Genomic DNA, 19,474 nt, shown 5'->3' with positions numbered 1-19,474 from the left:
GGAGGCAGGTCAGGTGGGTGACTGTATGTGTGGGTGACTATGTGTTGGGGGGAGAGGAGGAGGAGAGAGAGAGGGAGAAAGACAGAGAGAGAATGAATGAGTGAGGTTAATTTTCCTAGGAAGAGAATATTAGCAATGCAGAGGAGAATGAAAGGATGTGGGGGGATTGGAAGCAGAGAGATCAGAATGGCTGTTGCAATCAATGGTCGTCCATTTAACATTTATTCATTCATTTAATAAATATTTATTAAAAACCTACCATGTACCAAGTGCTGCAATAAACCCTAGATGCATAAACAGACATGCTGTCTGTTCTCATGGAGCCTACAGTCAAGAAGATCCTGGTGAGAGATGAGCAGCTCTTAAACTAAGGCCTACATGAGGATGTACAGAAATCACCTGTAGTCTTCAGACACACTCTGTATGTTCTGTATGGTCTTTTCTTCTCTATGTAACTGCATACATAGAGAAGAAAAGAATGAATGAAGAGGCATTTATGAGGTCATGGACACAACTTGGTTACCTATTGGACGCTGGGGATTAAGGACGGGACAAGTCAGGTGATTCTATTTTTGGTGTTTGGTAACTCTGTAAACTTGATATTAATGGCTAAGTAAATAAGTTTGTAGAAAGGGGAAAATAATGAATGTCATTATACACATGTTATGGCTGAGTGCTCCAGTTAACATACAAATGGAGATATCCATCCATTTAGAGTTTAGGAGAGAGTTGAGACACTTTCTCCTTCAGTTCAAACCTTTCGGTTCAGAGTTTGAGATACAGATTTGAAAATTGTTATGAGGTAGGTGATAATAGAAGCCACAGGAGGTGACAGGATCCAGGAAGAATGTGCAGATGAGGAAGAAGAGGACGTATGCCTGGGACTTACAGTGTTTGTGAGATGAGCAGAGAAGGGGGCTGATCCCTACTTGTATTCTAGATTACCTCCTCTCCTGCTTGGTAGCACCTGATGTCAAAACGGCCTCATCTCTTTTCTGCATTTCTCTCAGTTCATAAACTGTTTAATCTTAAATAAAGAACCCCAAACTTCCCCTAATCCTCTGTTGACTTTATGGCCCCTTTTAGCATGTAACTGAGTTTCTTCTTCCCTCACAGCCCATGTTTGTTGAAAGCCTAGTGACATTGGGTGTTTCCTGTTCCTCACCTCTAGTCCATCCCCTGCAAGTTCCTTGGCTTTGACAGCCCTTGAACACTGAAATGCCCCTGGCTGAGGTAGTCTTCAAAGACTACTTTGAAGTCCTTATCTTATGATGTGTTTTGAACACATTAATCTTGATGGGCTCTAATAATCTCTTAACTCCAATTCAGTCCAATATAATTTTGAAACCCCCAAATTTATCTAATTTTAAAAGGCTCCTTCACCCCTAGATGGCTTGGAAACCTTGGTGTGGGGTGGGGTGGGGAATGGCTGTTTCTCTCTTCTCTCCATCTCCTTCCTTCCTTCCTCTAGGAGTTGGCCTGAGAGGAGAGATGAGTAGGGCCAAAGGAGACATCATGTGTGGCAGGTGCAGCTCTCTCTTATGGGATTTTCTGTGGCTTCATTATAGATCCTCCTGCTGGGATCTTAGGTCTGCAACTCTCTCTGAATGGCTGGCCCATTTTTTTGCGGGGAGGATGGTGGTGAGGAGCTTTGCTTCTCCCTCACCAATCCAGTCTGCCTCTTGGGAAAGATCTCTTTAAGTCATATCAGCTTGTTCCCTTTGGTGGGATCTACATTTGCCTGTCTCTCCAGAGGTGACATGTAGCTTGCCCCCAAACCAGTGCCCCCTCTTCCCTCTGCCACTGGGCAAGGGCAGCTCCAGCCAGTCTCTTGTCTTTAGACTTTCCAGGTGGGAATCAAATACTAGTGCCTTTTCCATTAAGCTCTCCCATAGGTTCTCTTGCAGCTCCACTCATCTGGCTTAGGTAGTGGAGCTGGCTTAGAGAGTGGAAATAGAAAATACTACAATATACTAAACTTCGTAAGGCAGTGTGGGGTAAGGACTACAGCAGTATGTGCAAAGCCTGGTGGAAGCAGTAAGAAGGGTGAGGGTAGCTCTGCTTTGGGGTGAGGGGACAATATCAAAAGCTTCTGGAAGAAAGAGGAATGACCTGGCTTTGAAAGAATGAGTTTGTCTGGTAGAACAGGGGTGAAAGGCTGTTCTCGATGAAGCTAATGGAGGCAAGCTCTGTAAATGAAGGCATGGGACATGAAATAGCAGAGTGTATCTGAAGACTACAGGTGATTTCTGTAAGTTTTCAGGTTGGGAGTAGGGGAGTAGCGTGGACAGGTAAACAGGGCTTGTGAATACACACATGCACACACACAGAAACAAGGTGTGCAAACCCACCCTTCACAGAGCAATGAGGGAAGCATATATACTGAGGGTTGCCTTCTTTTCTGTTTTCTCATTCTTTCACCTGGGTTTAGGACCTTGAGAAAGACACTTTACCTCTCTGGGCTTCAGTGTTCTCATCTGAAAAATGAGGATGTTAGATGTTCTAAAATTCCCCAATTCCAAATAGGCTTTACAGAGAAGCACTGAACAAACTAAGTAAGTTTAATTTTTTAATCTGAGGGTTTGATCTATAGAATTACAGAACCCAAGAATATTGATTTTATCAAATATGGAGAAACATCTTTTTTCAGGTTTTTTTTTTTTTTTTTTTTATGGAGTCTCACTCTATCACCCAGGCTGGAGTGCAGTGGTGCAATCTCGGCTCACTGCAACCTCCGCCTCCCGGGTTCAAGTGATTCCCCTGCCTCAGTCTCCCGAGTAGCTGGGACTACAGGCATGTGCCACCACACTCAGCTAATTTTTGTATTTTTAGTAGAAACGGGGTTTCACCATGTTGTCCAGGATGGTCTCGATCCCTTGGCCTTGTGATCCACCCACCTTGGCTTCCCAAAGTACTAGGATTACAGGCGTGAGCCACCGTGCCTGGCCTTTCAGTTTTCAAAATTGTGGTAAAATATGCGCAACATAAAATTTACCATTTTAACTAATTTTAAGTGTACATTTAGTACATCTAGATTGTTGCGTAACCGTCACGAGCATCCGTCTCAAGGATGTTTTCGTCTTCCCAAACTGGAATCTGTTAAACAATGACTCCCTAGTCCTCCTTCCCCCAGCACCTGGCAACTACCACTCTAATTTCTGTTCCTGTGTATTTGACTAATAGGCACTTTATACAAGTGGAATTATACAATATCTGTTCTTTTGTGTTTGGTTTATTTCTTTTAGCATAATATTGTCCTTAAGATTTATCCATGCTGTGTCATTTGTCAGAATTTCCTTTCTTTTTAAGGCTGAATAAAATTTCATTGAATGTATATATCACATTTTGTGTGTCCACTCCTCTGTCAATGCACATGAGTTGCTTCCACCTTTTGGCTATTGTAAATAATGCTGCTACGAACATAGCTGTGCACATGTCTCTTTGAGACCCTGCTTTCAATTCTTTTGAGCATATACTCAGAATTGCTGAATTATAATCTATGTAATTTTTTGAGGAATTGTCCTACTGTTTTCCCCTGTGATTGCACCATTTTACATTTCTACCAGCAATACACAAGAGTTCTAATTTCTAATTTCTCAACAGTCTTGGCAACAGTTGTTTTCTGTTTTTTTTTTTTTTTTTTTTTTTTTTTAATTAGAGAAAGGGTCTCGCTATGTTATCCCGGCTGGAGTGCTGTGGCTATTCATGGGCAGGCTCCAGCTACTCTCGTAATCAGCACAGGAGTTGTGACCTGCTCTTTTTCCAACCTGGGTCGATTCATCCCTCCTTTGGCAATGGAGTGGTCTCCTGCTCTGGAGAGGTCCCATATAGATGCTGAACTTAGTGCAGACATGCTTAGTGCATAGTGCAGTACTACAGCTCAGAACTCCTAGATTCAAGCAATCCTCCTGCCCCAGCCTCCTGAGTAGCTGGGACTATAGGCAACACTGCACTTCACTTTCTTTTTCTTTTTGTTTTTTTTTTTTTTTATGGCTGATAGCTGTCCTAATGGATGTAAAGTATTATCTTGTGGTTTTGAGGTACATTTCCTCATAATTAGTGATGTTGAACATCTTCATGTGCTTATTGGCCATCCGTATATCTTCTTTGGAAAAATGTCCATTCAAGTCCTTTGCCCACTTTAAAAATCAGGTTTTGTTGTTATGGTTGTTGTTGAGCTATGGAAGTTCTTTGTATATTCTGGATATTAATCTCTTATCAGTTGTATAATTTGCAAATATTTTCTCCAATTCCCTGGGTTGCTTTTTCCCTCTATTGATGATTTCCTTTGATACACAAAAGAGTTTAATTTTGATGAAGTCCAATTTATTTATTTATTTTTTGTACTGCTTTTGGTGTCATATCCAAGAAATCATTGTCAAATACAATATCATTAATATTTCTCCTAAGTAAAAACAAAGAAACGTCTTTTATGTGAATTATAAATTAGCCTAAGTTCTATCTTTAAAATTCAATTTTCTTGCTTAATATGCAAAATGTAATGAAGCTTCATTAATTTTATTTTTTATGTTTTATTTTTAAATTTTATTTATTTAGTTTTCTGTTGTTTAAATAATAGAAATTTATTTTCTCACTATTCTGGAGGCTAGAAATCTAACATCAAGGTGTTAGTAAGGTTGATTTCTTCTGAACCTCTCTCCTTGGCTTGCTGATGACTGCCTCTCTTTGTGTCTTCACATGGTCTTTCTTCTGTATCTGTGTCCTAATCTCCTTTTCTTTCTATTATTTTTATTTTTTATTTCAATAGATTTTTGGGAAACAGGTGGTGTTTGGTTACATGAATAAATTATTTAGTGGTGATTTCTGAGATTTTGGTGCACCCATCACTCAAACAGTGTGCACTGTACCCAATGTGTATAGTCTTTTATCCCTCACTCCCTCCCACCCTTTTCCCCAAGTCCTCAAAGTCCATTGTGTCGTTCTTATGCCTTTGAGTCCTCACAGCTTAGCTCCTACATATGAGTGAGAACATACAATGTTTGGTTTTTCATTCCTGAGTTACTTCACTTAGAATAATGGTCTCCAACTCCATCCAGGTTAAGCTTCATTTATTTTCTACATTGACCTCCTATCCTCTAAACATACTTTGGGTGTCTTCTTATCATCCTGGTTGCTTAGGGAACAGGACAAGCTTTCAACAGTCTATGCCTATTACATTGTCATTAAATATTCTCAAACTGTTCAAAAGGTTTAAAATAATTATTTAAACTAAGCATGGTTTAAGTTTGCTTTGGTTTGCCCAGATGAGAAGCTTAAAGACTTGAGAGAGGCTGAGTATAAGAAGGGAGTAAGAAGGTAAGTTAATTCTTTCTGGTTCATGGTGATTGATTAAAAAATGTTTTTTTTTCTTTCTTTCTCAATTTTCTAAAACAAGCAAACAAACAAACAAACACTACTTTAGGTACATCCCAGGTAAGGGAAACTTCTTCTGGAGAGGGGGCTATCAGAAGGTCATCAATGAGTGGGAAATGGTAGAATAATAGAAAACTGTGCTTCTTGCTTGCCCCCTTTTTCATGGGGTCTGTGATGTGATTCACCCGTACTGGGATGAATAGTGATTGCTCTATCAAGAAAATTTTAAAAGACCAAAAATCACTTTGATTTGGTGTTTGTCCTGACCTACCCCTATTCAATTCATTGGGTAATCTTGTATCAGTCACTGAGTTTCACATTTATAAAATGAGATATTGGAACCAATAGCTAAGCTTTCATTATCCCTGAACTATAACACAGAGGCTTCTTGGGAGCTATATTTCTTCTAGTTGGGAAAACGGGGAAAAAAGAAATCTCTATTTTCTTAAAGCAAAACAGAGCCACATAAATAATTAATCCTCAGCAAGTTGAACAATTCATTTTTGGCAAGGGTGTAATTCCCCAAAGTTGGGAGAATTCTGGAAAATGTATTTTGCACATGTTTCTGAGAGGTGTTGTGGTCTTTGATAAACCTTTAGTATGGTTTATTGAGTAAATTCAGCCTTGAATCCCAAGGTAGTTAACTATTGCACTTGAAGTCTTGTTTCATGAGGGTCTTTGGGGATTTTGGATTTCCAAACTATGAGGGACTTCCTGGGAAAAAACTGTGCCTGTGGATTGCTTAGTATTCACCAAAGATTCTGAGTTTTCTGCCTTTGAGGACACGTAAAAAGGAAATTTGGTATAAACGTATGTGTATATGTTATATGCCCAAGTTTAGACATTATGTGAATTGCATACAATGAATTCCAGGTGACTGTAAAGTAAATGATTAAAGTGCATTTTGCTATATGGAAGTTATATTGAGCTTTATGATTTTTTGGAAGGGCTTTGGACAATGTTTGCTTTCTGGAGTTTTCTCCAGAGAAAAGTGTACTGCAAAAGAAATGCATATATTTTATTAATCTTCTTCATCAACAGTGAAAGCAATAAATCAGACACATATATTTTTTAAAAAACCCAGCTTTACACCACTGTTTTGGTATACTAAATACATGATAGTTGATTTTTGGATGGTTTATTTTTAATCACTGGGGTATTTAAGTTATGTTACCACCTGCTTGCTTTCTGCTTCTTCCCATATTAATAACTGGCACATACAATTTTGAAAAAAATAAAATGCAGATGTTTTTTCTGTCATGTCAAAGTGGCATGCGGTTTTGATCCTGACATGGAGGGTTCCTATCAGATTGCCCTTTCTGAAATCTCTGGATCTATTTCCTCTTTTGCCTGGACTGCTGTTACTGGTAGTTGGTGTGTTATTCAATTATCTCTACGTTTTAACCTTGGTGTTTACCTCTAATGTTGCTCAAGTCAGTAAATGATTCATTGCATTTGGAACCAATAAACAGGGTTTGGCAGAAAAGGGACAATGTGTGGCGGATGTGTTTGGGCTAAAGGGAACAATGCATTTGAAACTGGGCTCTAAGAGCTTAGAAATTCAATTATGCCTTCATGCAGACAAGGCTAGGTCCCACAGTTCCTGGCTCAGAGTGAGCACCCAGTAAATGTTCACAAAGATGAGGGTGATGGTTTTATTCTACAAAATCTGCACGTACAAGGAAAGCATCTGCATCAGATTGCATAGGCAAGTTTCTCAAATTCTAGGTTATTGAGATTTCATCCCCACCTCTGAAACATCTTCCTGGGTTTCCTCATTCTTCAGGTACAATTGATAATTTTGTGGTATTAGCATTAACACAAATAACCTTGCACATTATCAAATACCAGGCAATACATGCAGAAAGCTTAAGAACACATGATGCTGCTTTGAGGATAAACAAATGAATTTCTTTTTCTCTCTAAAAAGTACCTCAAACGTGAAGCTTAAAGAACTAGGAAAAAGTTATTTAGTCAAGGCTAGTGAAGATATAGGTACAGAATGAGTTTTTCTTGTTCCTGAGCTTGGTTTTTCCCTGAAACTTGTTGCCTTATCTTTCTTTTTTTAAAATGAGAAATAAAAAAAAGAAAATCCTCTTTTCTCAGGAAGCAATGCTAGTGGAAGAGTAGAATTTTTAATACCAATCATAGTCAAATATCATTCTCAGACATAGAGTCAGAATACGGGCCTTTAAAAATTCTTCATGTTGGCCTGGGTGTGGTTGGCTCACACCTGTAATCCCAGCACTTTGGGAGGCCGAGCTGGACGGATTGCTTGAGCTCAGGAGCTTGGGACCAGCCAGGGAAACATGGCAAAACCTTGTCTCTACAGAAATATACAAAAATTAGCTGGGTGTGGTGGTGCATGCCTGTAGTCCCAGCTACTCAGGAGGCTGGGGTGGGAGGATTGCTTGATCCCAGGAGGTCGAGTCTGCAGTGATTTGAGACTGCACCACTTCATTCCAGCCTGGGTGCAGAGTAAAACCCTGTCTCAAAAAACAAAACAAAACAAAACAAAACAAAACAAAACAAAAAGCAAAAAAAACCAACCCAAAAAACAAACAAAAAACTTCGTTATCCCCCTAAGCACACATATCCTGGCCATGTTCAGGATCAGAAAGTTTTCATTTCTTCAGCCTAGATAGTAAGTATTGGTGACTACATAGAAGTCCTTGTGGTATTTACTGTATATCTTTGGTAGTCATAATTCTTCCTGAGCAAAAGAAAGGTCTGCATCAGGTCTTACTTTACATTTTTTGGCATCATAAATTGAAAAATTCCATGTTGCATGTCCTGTGTGAGGAGAGTTTATGCAGTGAGCGAATAACCTGTCCTTCTGCCTGGCACTGGCATCCCACCTTTCTTGCTGTTATTTATGCTTTTGAGCAGTAACTTTAATAAAGAGGGAAAAATCTAAACATGGTCTCTGTGAAAACTGTTCTCTCAAGAAGGTCCTTATAGTGGCATATTAATTTTCTGTTGCTGCATAACAAATGACCACCATCTTAGTGGCCTAAAACAATGCCGATTTATTATCTATGGTCCCGTAGATCAGAAGTCTGGGCACATGCAAAACCAAATAAAATACTTACGAATATATTTAACCAAGGAGGTGAAAGATCTCTGCAAGGAAAACTACAAAACATTGATGAAAGAAATTGTGGATGACACAAACAAATGGAAAAAACATCTCATGCTCACGGATTGAAAGCAATCTACAGATTCTATGGAATTACTATCAAAATGTCAACATCATTTTTTGCAGAGTTAGAAGAACCATCCTAAAATTCATATGGGACCAAAAAACTGCCCAACTAGCCAAAGCAATCCTAAGCAAAAAGAACAAAGCTGGAGGTATCATAATACCTGACTTCGAATTATACTGCAAGGCTATGGTCACCAAAACAGCATGGTACTGGTATTAAAATAGACACATAGATCAATAGAATATAATGGACAACCCAGAAATAAAGTCACATGTCTACAACCAACTAATCTTTGACAAAGCCAACAAAAACATACAGTGGGGAAAAGTCACCCTACTCGATAAGTGTGCGGGGGAAATTGGACTGCCATATGCAGGCACATGAAACTGGACCTCTATCTTTAACCTTATACAAAAATTAACTCAAGATGGATTGAAGACTTAAATGTAACACCCGACAGTATAAAAGTCCTAGAAGAAAACCTAGGAAAAACTTTTTTGGATATTGGCCTAGGCAAAGTATTTATGACCAAGACCTCAAAAACAAATGCAACAAAACCAAAAATAAGCAAGTGGGACCTAGTAAAACTAAAAACCTTCTGCACAGCAAAATAAGTAATCAACATAATGAACAGATAACCTGCAGAACAGTAGAAAATATTTGCAAACTACAGATACAACAAAGGACTAATATCCAGTATCTGCAAGGAGCTCAAACAACTCAATAAAAACAAACAAACAAAACACCAGAACAACCCTATTAAAAAGTAGGCAAAGGACACAAACAGACATTTTTAGAGGAAGACACAGAAATGGCAGATAAGCATGTGAAAAAATGCTCAACATTAGTAATCATCAGAGAAATGAAAATTAAAACCACAGTGGGATACCGAGTTATATTAGTCAGAATGGCTCTTATTAAAAAGTCAAACTACAGCAGATATTGGTGAGGATGCTGAGAAAGGGGAGCATTTATACACTGTTGGTGGGAATGTAAATTAGTAGAACCATTATGGAAAACAGTATGGTGATTTCTCAAAGAACTAAAAATAGAAGTACCATTTGATCTAGCAATCCCACTACTGGGTATCTACCCAAAGGAAAAGAAATTATTATATCAAAAAGATACCTTCATTCAGGTGATTATCTCAACCCTGTTCACAATAGCAAAGATATGGAATCAACCTAAGTTTCCAATGACAAATGATTGGATAAAGAAAATATGGTGTGTATGTATTTATATATATATGTGTGTGTGTGTGTGTACACATATATATACACACATACATTGGAATTCTACTCAGCAATAAAAAAGAGTGAAATCATGGCTTTTGCAGTAACCTGTATGGAACCATTATCTTAAGTGAAGTAACTCAGAAAGTCAAATTCCATATGTTCTCACTTATAAGTGGGAGCTAAATAATGTGTACACATGGATATAGTGGAATAATAGACACTGGAGGCTTAGAAGGGTGGGAGGGTGGAAAGAAGGTGGGACAAGAAATTACTTAATGGGCACAATGTTCACTCTTCAGATGTTGGTTACACTAAAAGCCCGGACTTTACCACTATGCAATCTATCCATGTAACAAAACTGCACTTGTACCCTCTAAATCTATTAAAAAAATTTTTTAAAAAGTCTGGGCACAGAGTAGATGGGTTCTCTGCTCAAGGTCTCTCAAGGCTGAAATCAAAGTGTCAGCATGGCTACATTCTCATCTGGAATTCAAGGTCTACCTCCAAGTTCATTCAGGTTGTCAGTGAAAGTCAATTCATTGTGAATATAGGATTTAGGTCTTCATTTTCTTGCTGGCTGTTGGCTGTGACCACTTTCAGCAATTAAAGGCTGTTCTTGGGTTCTAGCCACATGGTCTCCTCCAAGCCACATGGCAGGTTGCTCCTTCAAGGCCAGTGGGAGAATCTCTCTCTTAAGGACTCACCTGATTAGGTAGAGGCCATCTCCCTTTTGAATAACTCAAAGTCAGCTGATCTCTCACTTTAATTATATCTGCATAATTCTATCATCATTACCATATAACATAACCTAATCATGGGAGTGATAGCCCATCATATTCACAGGCTCTACTTCTGCTGAAGGGGAGAGGACTACACAGGGTGTGTACACCAGGGGTTCAGAATCCTAGGACATCTCAGAATTCTGCTTCATACAAGTAATATGTTTGAATTTGAGGATTTGAGAAGGTCACTAGACTCAGCCTTTGTGAAAGCAACGTTTCTCCTGCTGGCATTGTAGAAGTCTGTTCCATGTTTTTCTGGGCTCCATGTGTTTCACTTAAGTCTAAGGAATGGACCTGGCCTGGATCATGTCTGTTCCTGGAGACTTTACTGAGGCTAAGTGGGCTTTAGCTTCCTTAGAGGAGTTCAAGTCTGGGGTGGCCCCTAAGCAGTTCACTCCATGAAGTAATCCGAAGTCTTGGTAGAATACCCAGCCCTATATTCAGTATTAAAGCTGGGACATGTCTGATGTCAACAAGAAGACAGGGAGAAGACTTGGCCTTATCTGGTTCTGATCAAAATGTAAGGAATTTGTGTGGAATAACCCTAGATCCAGAAATATGCCTAGTCAGCTCTTTGCCCTCAGTGAGCTGTGAGCACAGCTCCTCTAAAGAGGCAGGAAAAGAAGAAAAGGGAGGGAACCACCAAAAGGACCTAATTTGTTAGTGTTAATCGGAGGCCTACCCATTCTCCTAATTGATTGTTCACTACAAAGTAGCTTGATGCTTCTTTAGCCTGGGAGCTAAATGTAATCAACTTTTGTTTGTTTCTGTAAAAAAATTTTTTTTTGCCCTTGAGGAGATCATTATTTCTATTGTATGAAGATGGTAGCCCAAACATTAGAAGTAATTAGAGCAGATGGCAGTGAATACTTTTATTTTAAAATACACTGAAGCTCATAAGCTGGTTTTCATTCTCTGGGCTTCTTCCTTTTTCCTCTGCCACCACATATCCATTTTGCTTCCCTTCAGGTGTAAAGACAGGAAAAAAGCAAAGGAGGAAAAAAAAGGTTTCCTGGTGTATGAAACTGCGGAGCTGTCAAACGTTCATAGCAGGGAAAGTACGCTCCTGTGTATTCAATCACCGAAATTAAGTGTTTTCGAAGGCAGTGCCGTCATGGGTCCATTGCATGGGGAAATAACATGTTGTAGTCCATCACTTAAAATGTTAACCTTGTCTCTTAATAGTGACTGGGAACACAAACACGTGCTCCATGCTCGCTGGTTAAATGGCAGTGTGTTAGCTTGTGAAAAAGGCTAGCATGTATCTGTCAATCTTCTGATCTGGCTCTGTGTGTGTGTGTGTGTGTATTCATGTGCATGCACGTGAGTGCGTGAGTGGCATACACACACACACACACACACACATACACACACACACACAACTTCCCACACTTCCACTTGCCTTTCTGTGGCTTTCTGAGATCTGGCTTATTGTGTACTAAAAAATGGGAAGAATTGAATCAGTTTCCAGTACTTTAATGTATATCCTTCACTAAGATGTTTTTGTTTGCAGTCCCTCAAGTCTCAGGTAGCTGTATTATAATTACCTATTTTCAATTACAGAAAGTTCCATTTTGCGCATGTTTTAATACTGATGTACTATAGATACACTATACTGAGCATATTATAGGTACTATACTGATAGTATAGTATGAAACAGAATTTACCGGGGTCCCCAAACTTTTCCTATAAAGAGCCAGATAGTAAATATTTCAGGCTTTGTGGGCCATGTTGCTTCTGTCACAAACTGAAAGCAGCCACAAACAATATGTAAATGAATTGTCATGCCGTGTGCCAATATCAAAATAGTGGGTTGTGGACTGTAGTTTGCTGACCTCGTTATATGTTACTGAGTGTTTTCCTTGATTTTTTTTTTCTATGACATATGAAGAACTTGATGTCTACCCAGGTCTTTGTGCAGTGTTTCTCATTGCATCACTAGAAAGGCCATCTGGCTATACAGCGTTCCTTCCTCCAGGGCCAGCCGCCTGATCCTTCAGGCTGCAGCTGCAGTACTCCAAGCACACCCTTTTTTCAAGGTCCTCCTTTGATAGCCTCTGGCTCATACTCTACTTCTCTGCTCCTTTCCCAATCCAATCCAATCCAATCCAATCCAATCCAATCCAATCCAATCAGAGCAGTCTCTGATCACTCCATATCAAATAGCTCTTCCTACCCTGGCACTTCTGATCCACTTCACCCTGTTTCTTTTTTACTTCAGAGCACACTATTAGTTTTATATATTTAACCTGTTATCTCCCTAAAATATAAGCTCCATGAGGTCAGGAATTTGTTTTGTGCCTGGTGTGTAGTGGGTGCTCAATAAACATTTGTTGAAGGCAGGGATCCATCTACTCTGTAGTTCCTGGAAAGTAGTCTGAAAAGAGTCTGTAACAAAATGAGATAATACCTGTTAAGTGCACCCCGTAAGTGTTGGCCATTATTATTAATTAAACTTTAAGTGGAAAGAGTAATACCTACATTTTTTAGTTGTGAGTATGAAAGGAAAATAAATCTTGGGGCCTCCCAAATCACTAAGCTAAAGGGAAAAGTCAAGCTGGGAACTGCTTAGGGCAAACCTGCCTTCCGTTCTAGTCAAAATTATCCCTTTGCTCACAGAGATAGATGCAGATCTGATTGCCTCCTTTGTAAAAGCTAATCAGAAACTTAAAAGAATGTAATCATTTGTCTCTCATCTACCTGTGACCTGGAAGTCCCCCTCCCTGCTTCAAGTTGTCCTGGATGGAACCAAGGTACATCTTACATATATTGATTGATGTCTCATGTCTCCCTAAAATGTATAAAACCAAGCTGTGTCCCAACCACCTTGGGCACATGTCATCAGGACCTGCTGAGGCTGTGTCATGGGCATGCATCCTCAACCTTGGCAAAATAAACTTTCTAAATTAACTGAGACCTGTCTCAGATATTCAGGGTTTACATAAGGATTAGTGATACTGTAAGTAAAATGTATAGCATTGTGCTTGGGACATTAGAAATATTAAGTAATCAGTAGCTATCATTATCATTTTTTCTCCCACAAGTGAAAAGGTCTTTGGACTTAAAATTCAGAAGAGATACTATTAGAGGAGATTTGAAGATTCAAATAGAGGAAACGATAAAAGAAGACTGTAAATTTGTCCTGTCTGCAGACTTTGAAAATCCTCTGAAGCTTAAGAGGGCTAATAACTTAGATATATGAAGCACTGAGGTAGAGTCAGCAACCTTTGAGAAATCGCAGAGGATAGGAAGTGTGTGGAACCAAGAGATAAGACAATGAATTGCCTGGTTTTCTAATGATGAGAAAGGGTCAATTTGAACTGGGCAGGAATCTCTGACAAAAAGTACTGTTGACATTTCTTTGAGTAGTCAATGTGCTACACAGTGCAGTGTGGAAGGACATTCTCATGTTATCTTGTAATCATGAGGGGTTTATAACCACCGAGAAAAGAAAGTGATCACTTAGAGCCTGCATGAGGTCAGTAAGAATAAATTATACCAAACTAATTCAATTTCCTTTTTGGTCCCTAAAGAGTTATTAGATTATAGGTTAGGGGCTCTATTCATAATCCTGGATTTGTAGATAGTTGACTTTTCTACACTATCTTTTGTTTTATAATCAGCTGAAATAATCTCAGCCTGTGTCATCTGTTGTGTCCAGATTAAAAAGAGAAAACGATGTTTAATGCACTTGATTTCCCCTGCAAGGCCATCTCCACTGTGGTCAGCCATCTAATCCTCTGAACTCCCATAGCATCTTGGTTATGCCTTTAATTATTGAATCAATCACACTTTAATTATCTGGCTATTTGTATTTTTCTAAATGATAATATAAGTACCTTAAGAACAAGGATGAGGTCACATTTATTTGGGAGAAACGCCTTTATATTAGCTCATACAAAAGGATTTGGGATTTTAATTGGCCAAAAGGTTTAATGTCATTGAACATTATAATTCAACTGTTAAAATAGCCAAGAGTATTAATTGGGAGAATAAATGTTATTTAATGAATGGTATGAAGACAATCAGTTAGCTATTTGGGGGAAAAATAGCAAGGAATAAAAACAAGAAAAAAGTATAAAACTTTCCATCAACATAAATTGTAAGTTAGTTGAGGAGTAACATGCAGATATAAAACCCACCAATCAAGAAGGACATATAAGTGTTATTTATGTCAGGGTGAAAGAGGATGTTTCATCTATAACATAATGAAGAATGTCACAAAAAAGGTAAATAAAGTTGGTTTCGTAAAAATTAAAACATTTCAATGTAAAGAAGAACTGAACAAAATTAAATTATAGCTTCATATCATATTATTTCAGTTATTAAAGATTTTTCATTATGGCATCATAAGTCCAAATAAGAGTTGACCATTTATTCATTCAAACATATTTTTGGGGTAGCCAATAGATGCCAGGCATTATTGTAGGTTCTAGGGATACAGCAGAAAAGCAAGACACTCTTGTGAAGCTTACATTCTATTAGGGGTTGACTGATTATAAACCAGTATACATTGTATTAGGTAGAGATGAGTGCTTTGGAGAAAATAAAGAAGGATACGGAGTGGAGAAAATGGTTACAGGGACTTGTCTTTTCCTATTTCCAGGATTTGGATGCTGAGGAAGAAGACATTTTGGTGAGGTGTCAGAACAGTTATTTCTTGTTCTTGTCAGCCAGGAGACACTGTGATTACAGAGATTCCCATACGCCACCTCCTCTGCCACCCCAGCTCAATGCATACACTCACAAATAGGTCTTTGCTTTGCCGGGTGTTCCAACTTGCTGATCAATGACTTCTTTCAAGATAACTCTGGTGGTGTTGCAAGTACATTTAAGGTGACATGTAAGATTTGCAGACACTGCACATTCCCTGAAGTTCAGAGAAGTGCTGACATGCTGTAAGAAGAAAACAAATTGCATAAGCTTCCTAGCTGAGGCAGGAAAGTTTTTTTCTGCTTTTTTTGGGGTTTATTTGGGGCTAGATGCAAAGATGAGGTCACGTTCTGGGCAATTCTTGTATCTCTATTTTCACGGCTGCCCCCATATGCCTATGAGGAATTGATTTTCTTCATCTGCAGAATAAGAATGAGTGATGTGTTTATCTCCAGGAAGAACACTAAAGCTAAAGGCTGAGCATCATGGGAACTATAGAGGAAAGAGCTTATATTAGGTGGAAGTAAGCTGGGCTGTTGACACGGAACATGGCCTTCACCAAAAATATGTTGGTATCAACAGAGACATTCTCAAATATATTCACAAAATCTTTAATCAATGCTGTTGGCATTTTTTTTTTCTTGATTGGATCAAAGTGACATGGATTGGAGGATGAAGATGTTGGAAGGTGAGCCATCCTCACTGTTTCATGGAGCATTTCCCTGGGAGGGAATGATAGCACCAGCTCTGTTAACTGAAAATGTAGGAGAGCTAAAATTCTTATGGCAACGTGCATGTAATCATGGATTACACTGATAACTTGCAATCATAGAGATATGCTGCTCTTCTATTTCCCCAGGTAGCTGGTAAGCAGTGGATGCTGCAGTAATTTTTAGATTTTTTAGTATTTAGTAATTATTTTGTGTAAAAGCATGAGTACATCAATAAACATTTATACATCTCAAGATATCTTTGTTATGCTAAGGGGAATTCAGGGCACAAGGAAACTTAGGTCTCTTGAAACTGAATGCTTAAACATCTGTATTCATTTGAAATTGGCCACATTGACTAGAGAAACTTAAGGTGAAAGAAAAAATTGGTGGAAGATTTTATGAGATCGAATCTGAGTCTCAGGTTCCAATTAAGTAGCACTATTCATCATTTGGTTTATGTTTAAATGGAGCTTGAAAACACGAAAAGGGATGTAAATGTTTCAGAAGACCTAGGGGATATAGCATTTTTAAGGTCTTAGCACCTGTATCTTCACCTATTGCATTAGGAAGAGATGTGTGTGTGTTTGTGTGTGATATCTGTAAAAGCATGTATGGCACCAGCAGGTATAAGATTCATTTAATAAATTATTCAAAAACATTTATTGAGCAACTACTATGTGCTAGACATCTTTTAGGGAGGTGGGAATATAGCAATGACCCAAACCAAGTCTCTGCTTCATTTGAGTAAGCTTAGTAAGTGATAACCAAATATGCAAGGAATTGTATTATTTAATACTAGAATGAGGCATTATTAGGGGAGAAGGAATGAAGGAATGATTGGGGGTGCTTTTTAAAAATAATAATACAGGTAAGGAGGTGATACCTGAGCAGAGGCATGAATTAAGTAAGGGAGTGAGCCATGCAGATCTTTTGGGAAAGAGCATCCCGGGAGAGGCCATGGTAAGGGAAAAACTTCAGATGGGAGCTTCCTTTTTGTGACTCCAGTTTGCCTCCATCACTATGAACTTTGACACATCATTTAAACACTTTGAGCCTTTGCTTTCTCCACTGGAAAGTAGAGATAACAGTATTTGACCTTTCCACCTACTGGGTTGGGACCAAGTATAGCAATCTTTGAAGGCTGACAGGCTAGGCCAAGAGGTTATAGCACATGGAAGGCAGCAAATGGCATAAGCAAGTGCTTCAGAGCAAGAAAGTCTCTAAAGCTTATTGAGAGCTAGATAACAGATATCTGTGCTAATCATAAAAATTTAAAAATGTTCTCAAATTAATTAATGGATAACACCATGAAATAGTCTACCTTTGACCCACTTAAATATCTAACTAATGTCTAGTTGTTCCCGATCATTTTACTGTGTGTGTAATGAGCCCTGGTTTTCTTCATAGTTCTGTGGCTGGGTTATGGATCTGACCACCAGGTTAATGTCTCAGAAAGCGTTATGCTGCTGAAGTCTTCATATTTCTTACAGTTCATCAACACATCATTCTTCCTAGCTTGCTAGTCTTTGGGCGATCCTGGCCAAAGACCCTAAGCTTTGGATGTTGGTTTGGAGAAAACATCTTGGTTCCTTTTAAAGATATATCTCCTTCTCCTCCAGCCCTTGCTCTGAATTGATCCTTAAATTTTGATGCAGAAGTGTCATCTGAGAGGATCATTAAAATTGTAGGTCTCTGGGTCCCAATTCTTGAGCTTTTGATTTCACAGGTATATGATGACACTAGAGAAATCTACATTTTATTAAGCTCTAAGGAACACTGCCTAAAATAGCATCTGTAAAATTATGGGATAGGATTTTGCTAGAGTCCTTTCCATCTCTGGGCTTCTGGAAATCCAAGAGTTTTCAAATGTCCTTTTATCATGGACTCGCAGCTGACACTACAGATAACCTGGTTCACCCTGTTCTGCAGTTTACTTTACCATCTCTGTTTTTCCCACCTTCTTTCATTCCAGTTTCCTTTGATTTGCCTCCCTTTCCTCTTTCTGTATTCTACAGGAGTAAATTAAAGGGTTATAAGAATGTATAATATATATAGCCTTATAAGAAGTACTGTTTATTATTTTACCAACCTAAAGCTAGTCCTATAGTGAAATCATCTAGAGTTAAAATTCTCTCCTACTTTTGTAGCCTACAGATACTGCAGTTCACAACGATGCTCCTGGATCACCTATTCTTTTTTCTGTGATACTGGAACTGGTTATCACTATGCCTTATTTCCTTCCATCTCTTAAATTGTGATGAGTCATAGACTTTTACTTCTTTGCAGATGTAGAAAACGAATAAATTGCAAAGCCTTCTCAGTGATTGTGTTGGGTCTGCAACTTAGCACTGTTGACCTTGGGGTTTGTATCTTTTTCTGGAAAACGTAACGGCTCTTCTGGCAACACAATTTTCCATTTTCTATCTCAGAAATACTATAGAGCACTATTCTCTGTGTAGGTGTAGTTGTCGGTATTACAAACATGCCTTCCCTTCTAATGATCTTCTCCCATCTGCCTCTAACACATCATGAGAGGACCTTCTAGGTGGTTTATTTTTATAGGAACTTGGGCTTCACATTTGTTGGAATCTGAATGGGAAGAAGACTGGAGAGAGTGGCTTATACATGTCATATCTATTACCTTGAAGGAATCACCTTCTCTATTGTGATTTTATTATGTTTATCGTAATTATACTTCTACAACTTCACAAGGCATTTAGACATGTTACCAGCCTCTTGCATGAGCTCAATATTGCTTTCTGTGATTTTTATGTCCCTGTTTTAAAAAACGTATGACATCAGAGTGACCACAAATTAACAGGAAAGCCAAAAGTTCTGAGAGAGGGACTGAAGGCTGGGGTGGAGAGGGAGTGCTTCCTTTTCTGGCTTCTTCTGTCAGTACAGCTCCCTACCCCTCACTCAAATGTTCCAGACTATTTACTTGTCATCTGAAGTCAGTCGGCATTCTGCCTATGCCTGCATGGGCTTTGTTCAGCCCTGATGCACCAGGCACAGGGGGAAAGGCAACAATAATATCAAAAAAGGCCGAGTGGGAGGATAGATCTGAGCACTTAGGAAGAGGAATGTTCCTATAAAACAGGGACTCTTGGCAGTAGAGCCAGTGAAAAATGATACCAATTACATAAAGCAAAATGCCACCCATCAAGCAGAACATTTTAATTCTCCCTATTCCAGGCTATTTATGACTTTTTGTCCAAGATTCAATACATATCTGTAAAAATAAATGGAATCAAACTCATCTGTTAGGTAGAATGGGGCCTGTGCTAGAGGGGAAAAAAAAGGCAAGAAAACATTACCAGCATGTTATTGGAGAATTCCAGGGGCTGGGCACAGAAGAACTTCAAATATAATTTTGCCTCTCATGTTTTTTCCTGTTTAGGTTAGTTGTATGAAAAAGAGAGAGGTAACCAATTTTATGGAGACATTTAAAATATTTAAATTAATTTTACTTTCTTTGAGAAGTTTCTATTTTGATTCAATACTTATACTAT

The 19,474-nt window shown here is 38.7% G+C and overlaps 1 protein-coding gene and 1 pseudogene across 22 annotated transcripts in view; one reads left to right on the top strand and one right to left on the bottom strand.

Annotated features, from left to right (window-relative positions):
- PKHD1 (PKHD1 ciliary IPT domain containing fibrocystin/polyductin) overlaps positions 1-19,474 on the top strand; it is a 472,317-nt gene that overhangs the window by 108,000 nt on the left and 344,843 nt on the right. The gene's annotated exons all lie outside the window — the stretch shown is intronic.
- On the bottom strand, positions 3,657-3,943 carry RN7SL580P (RNA, 7SL, cytoplasmic 580, pseudogene; annotated as a pseudogene).

Source organism: Homo sapiens, chromosome 6 (assembly GCF_000001405.40).
Source record: "Homo sapiens chromosome 6, GRCh38.p14 Primary Assembly".
Classification (NCBI taxonomy): domain Eukaryota; kingdom Metazoa; phylum Chordata; class Mammalia; order Primates; family Hominidae; genus Homo; species Homo sapiens.
This window is presented reverse-complemented; position numbering and strand designations above follow the sequence as displayed.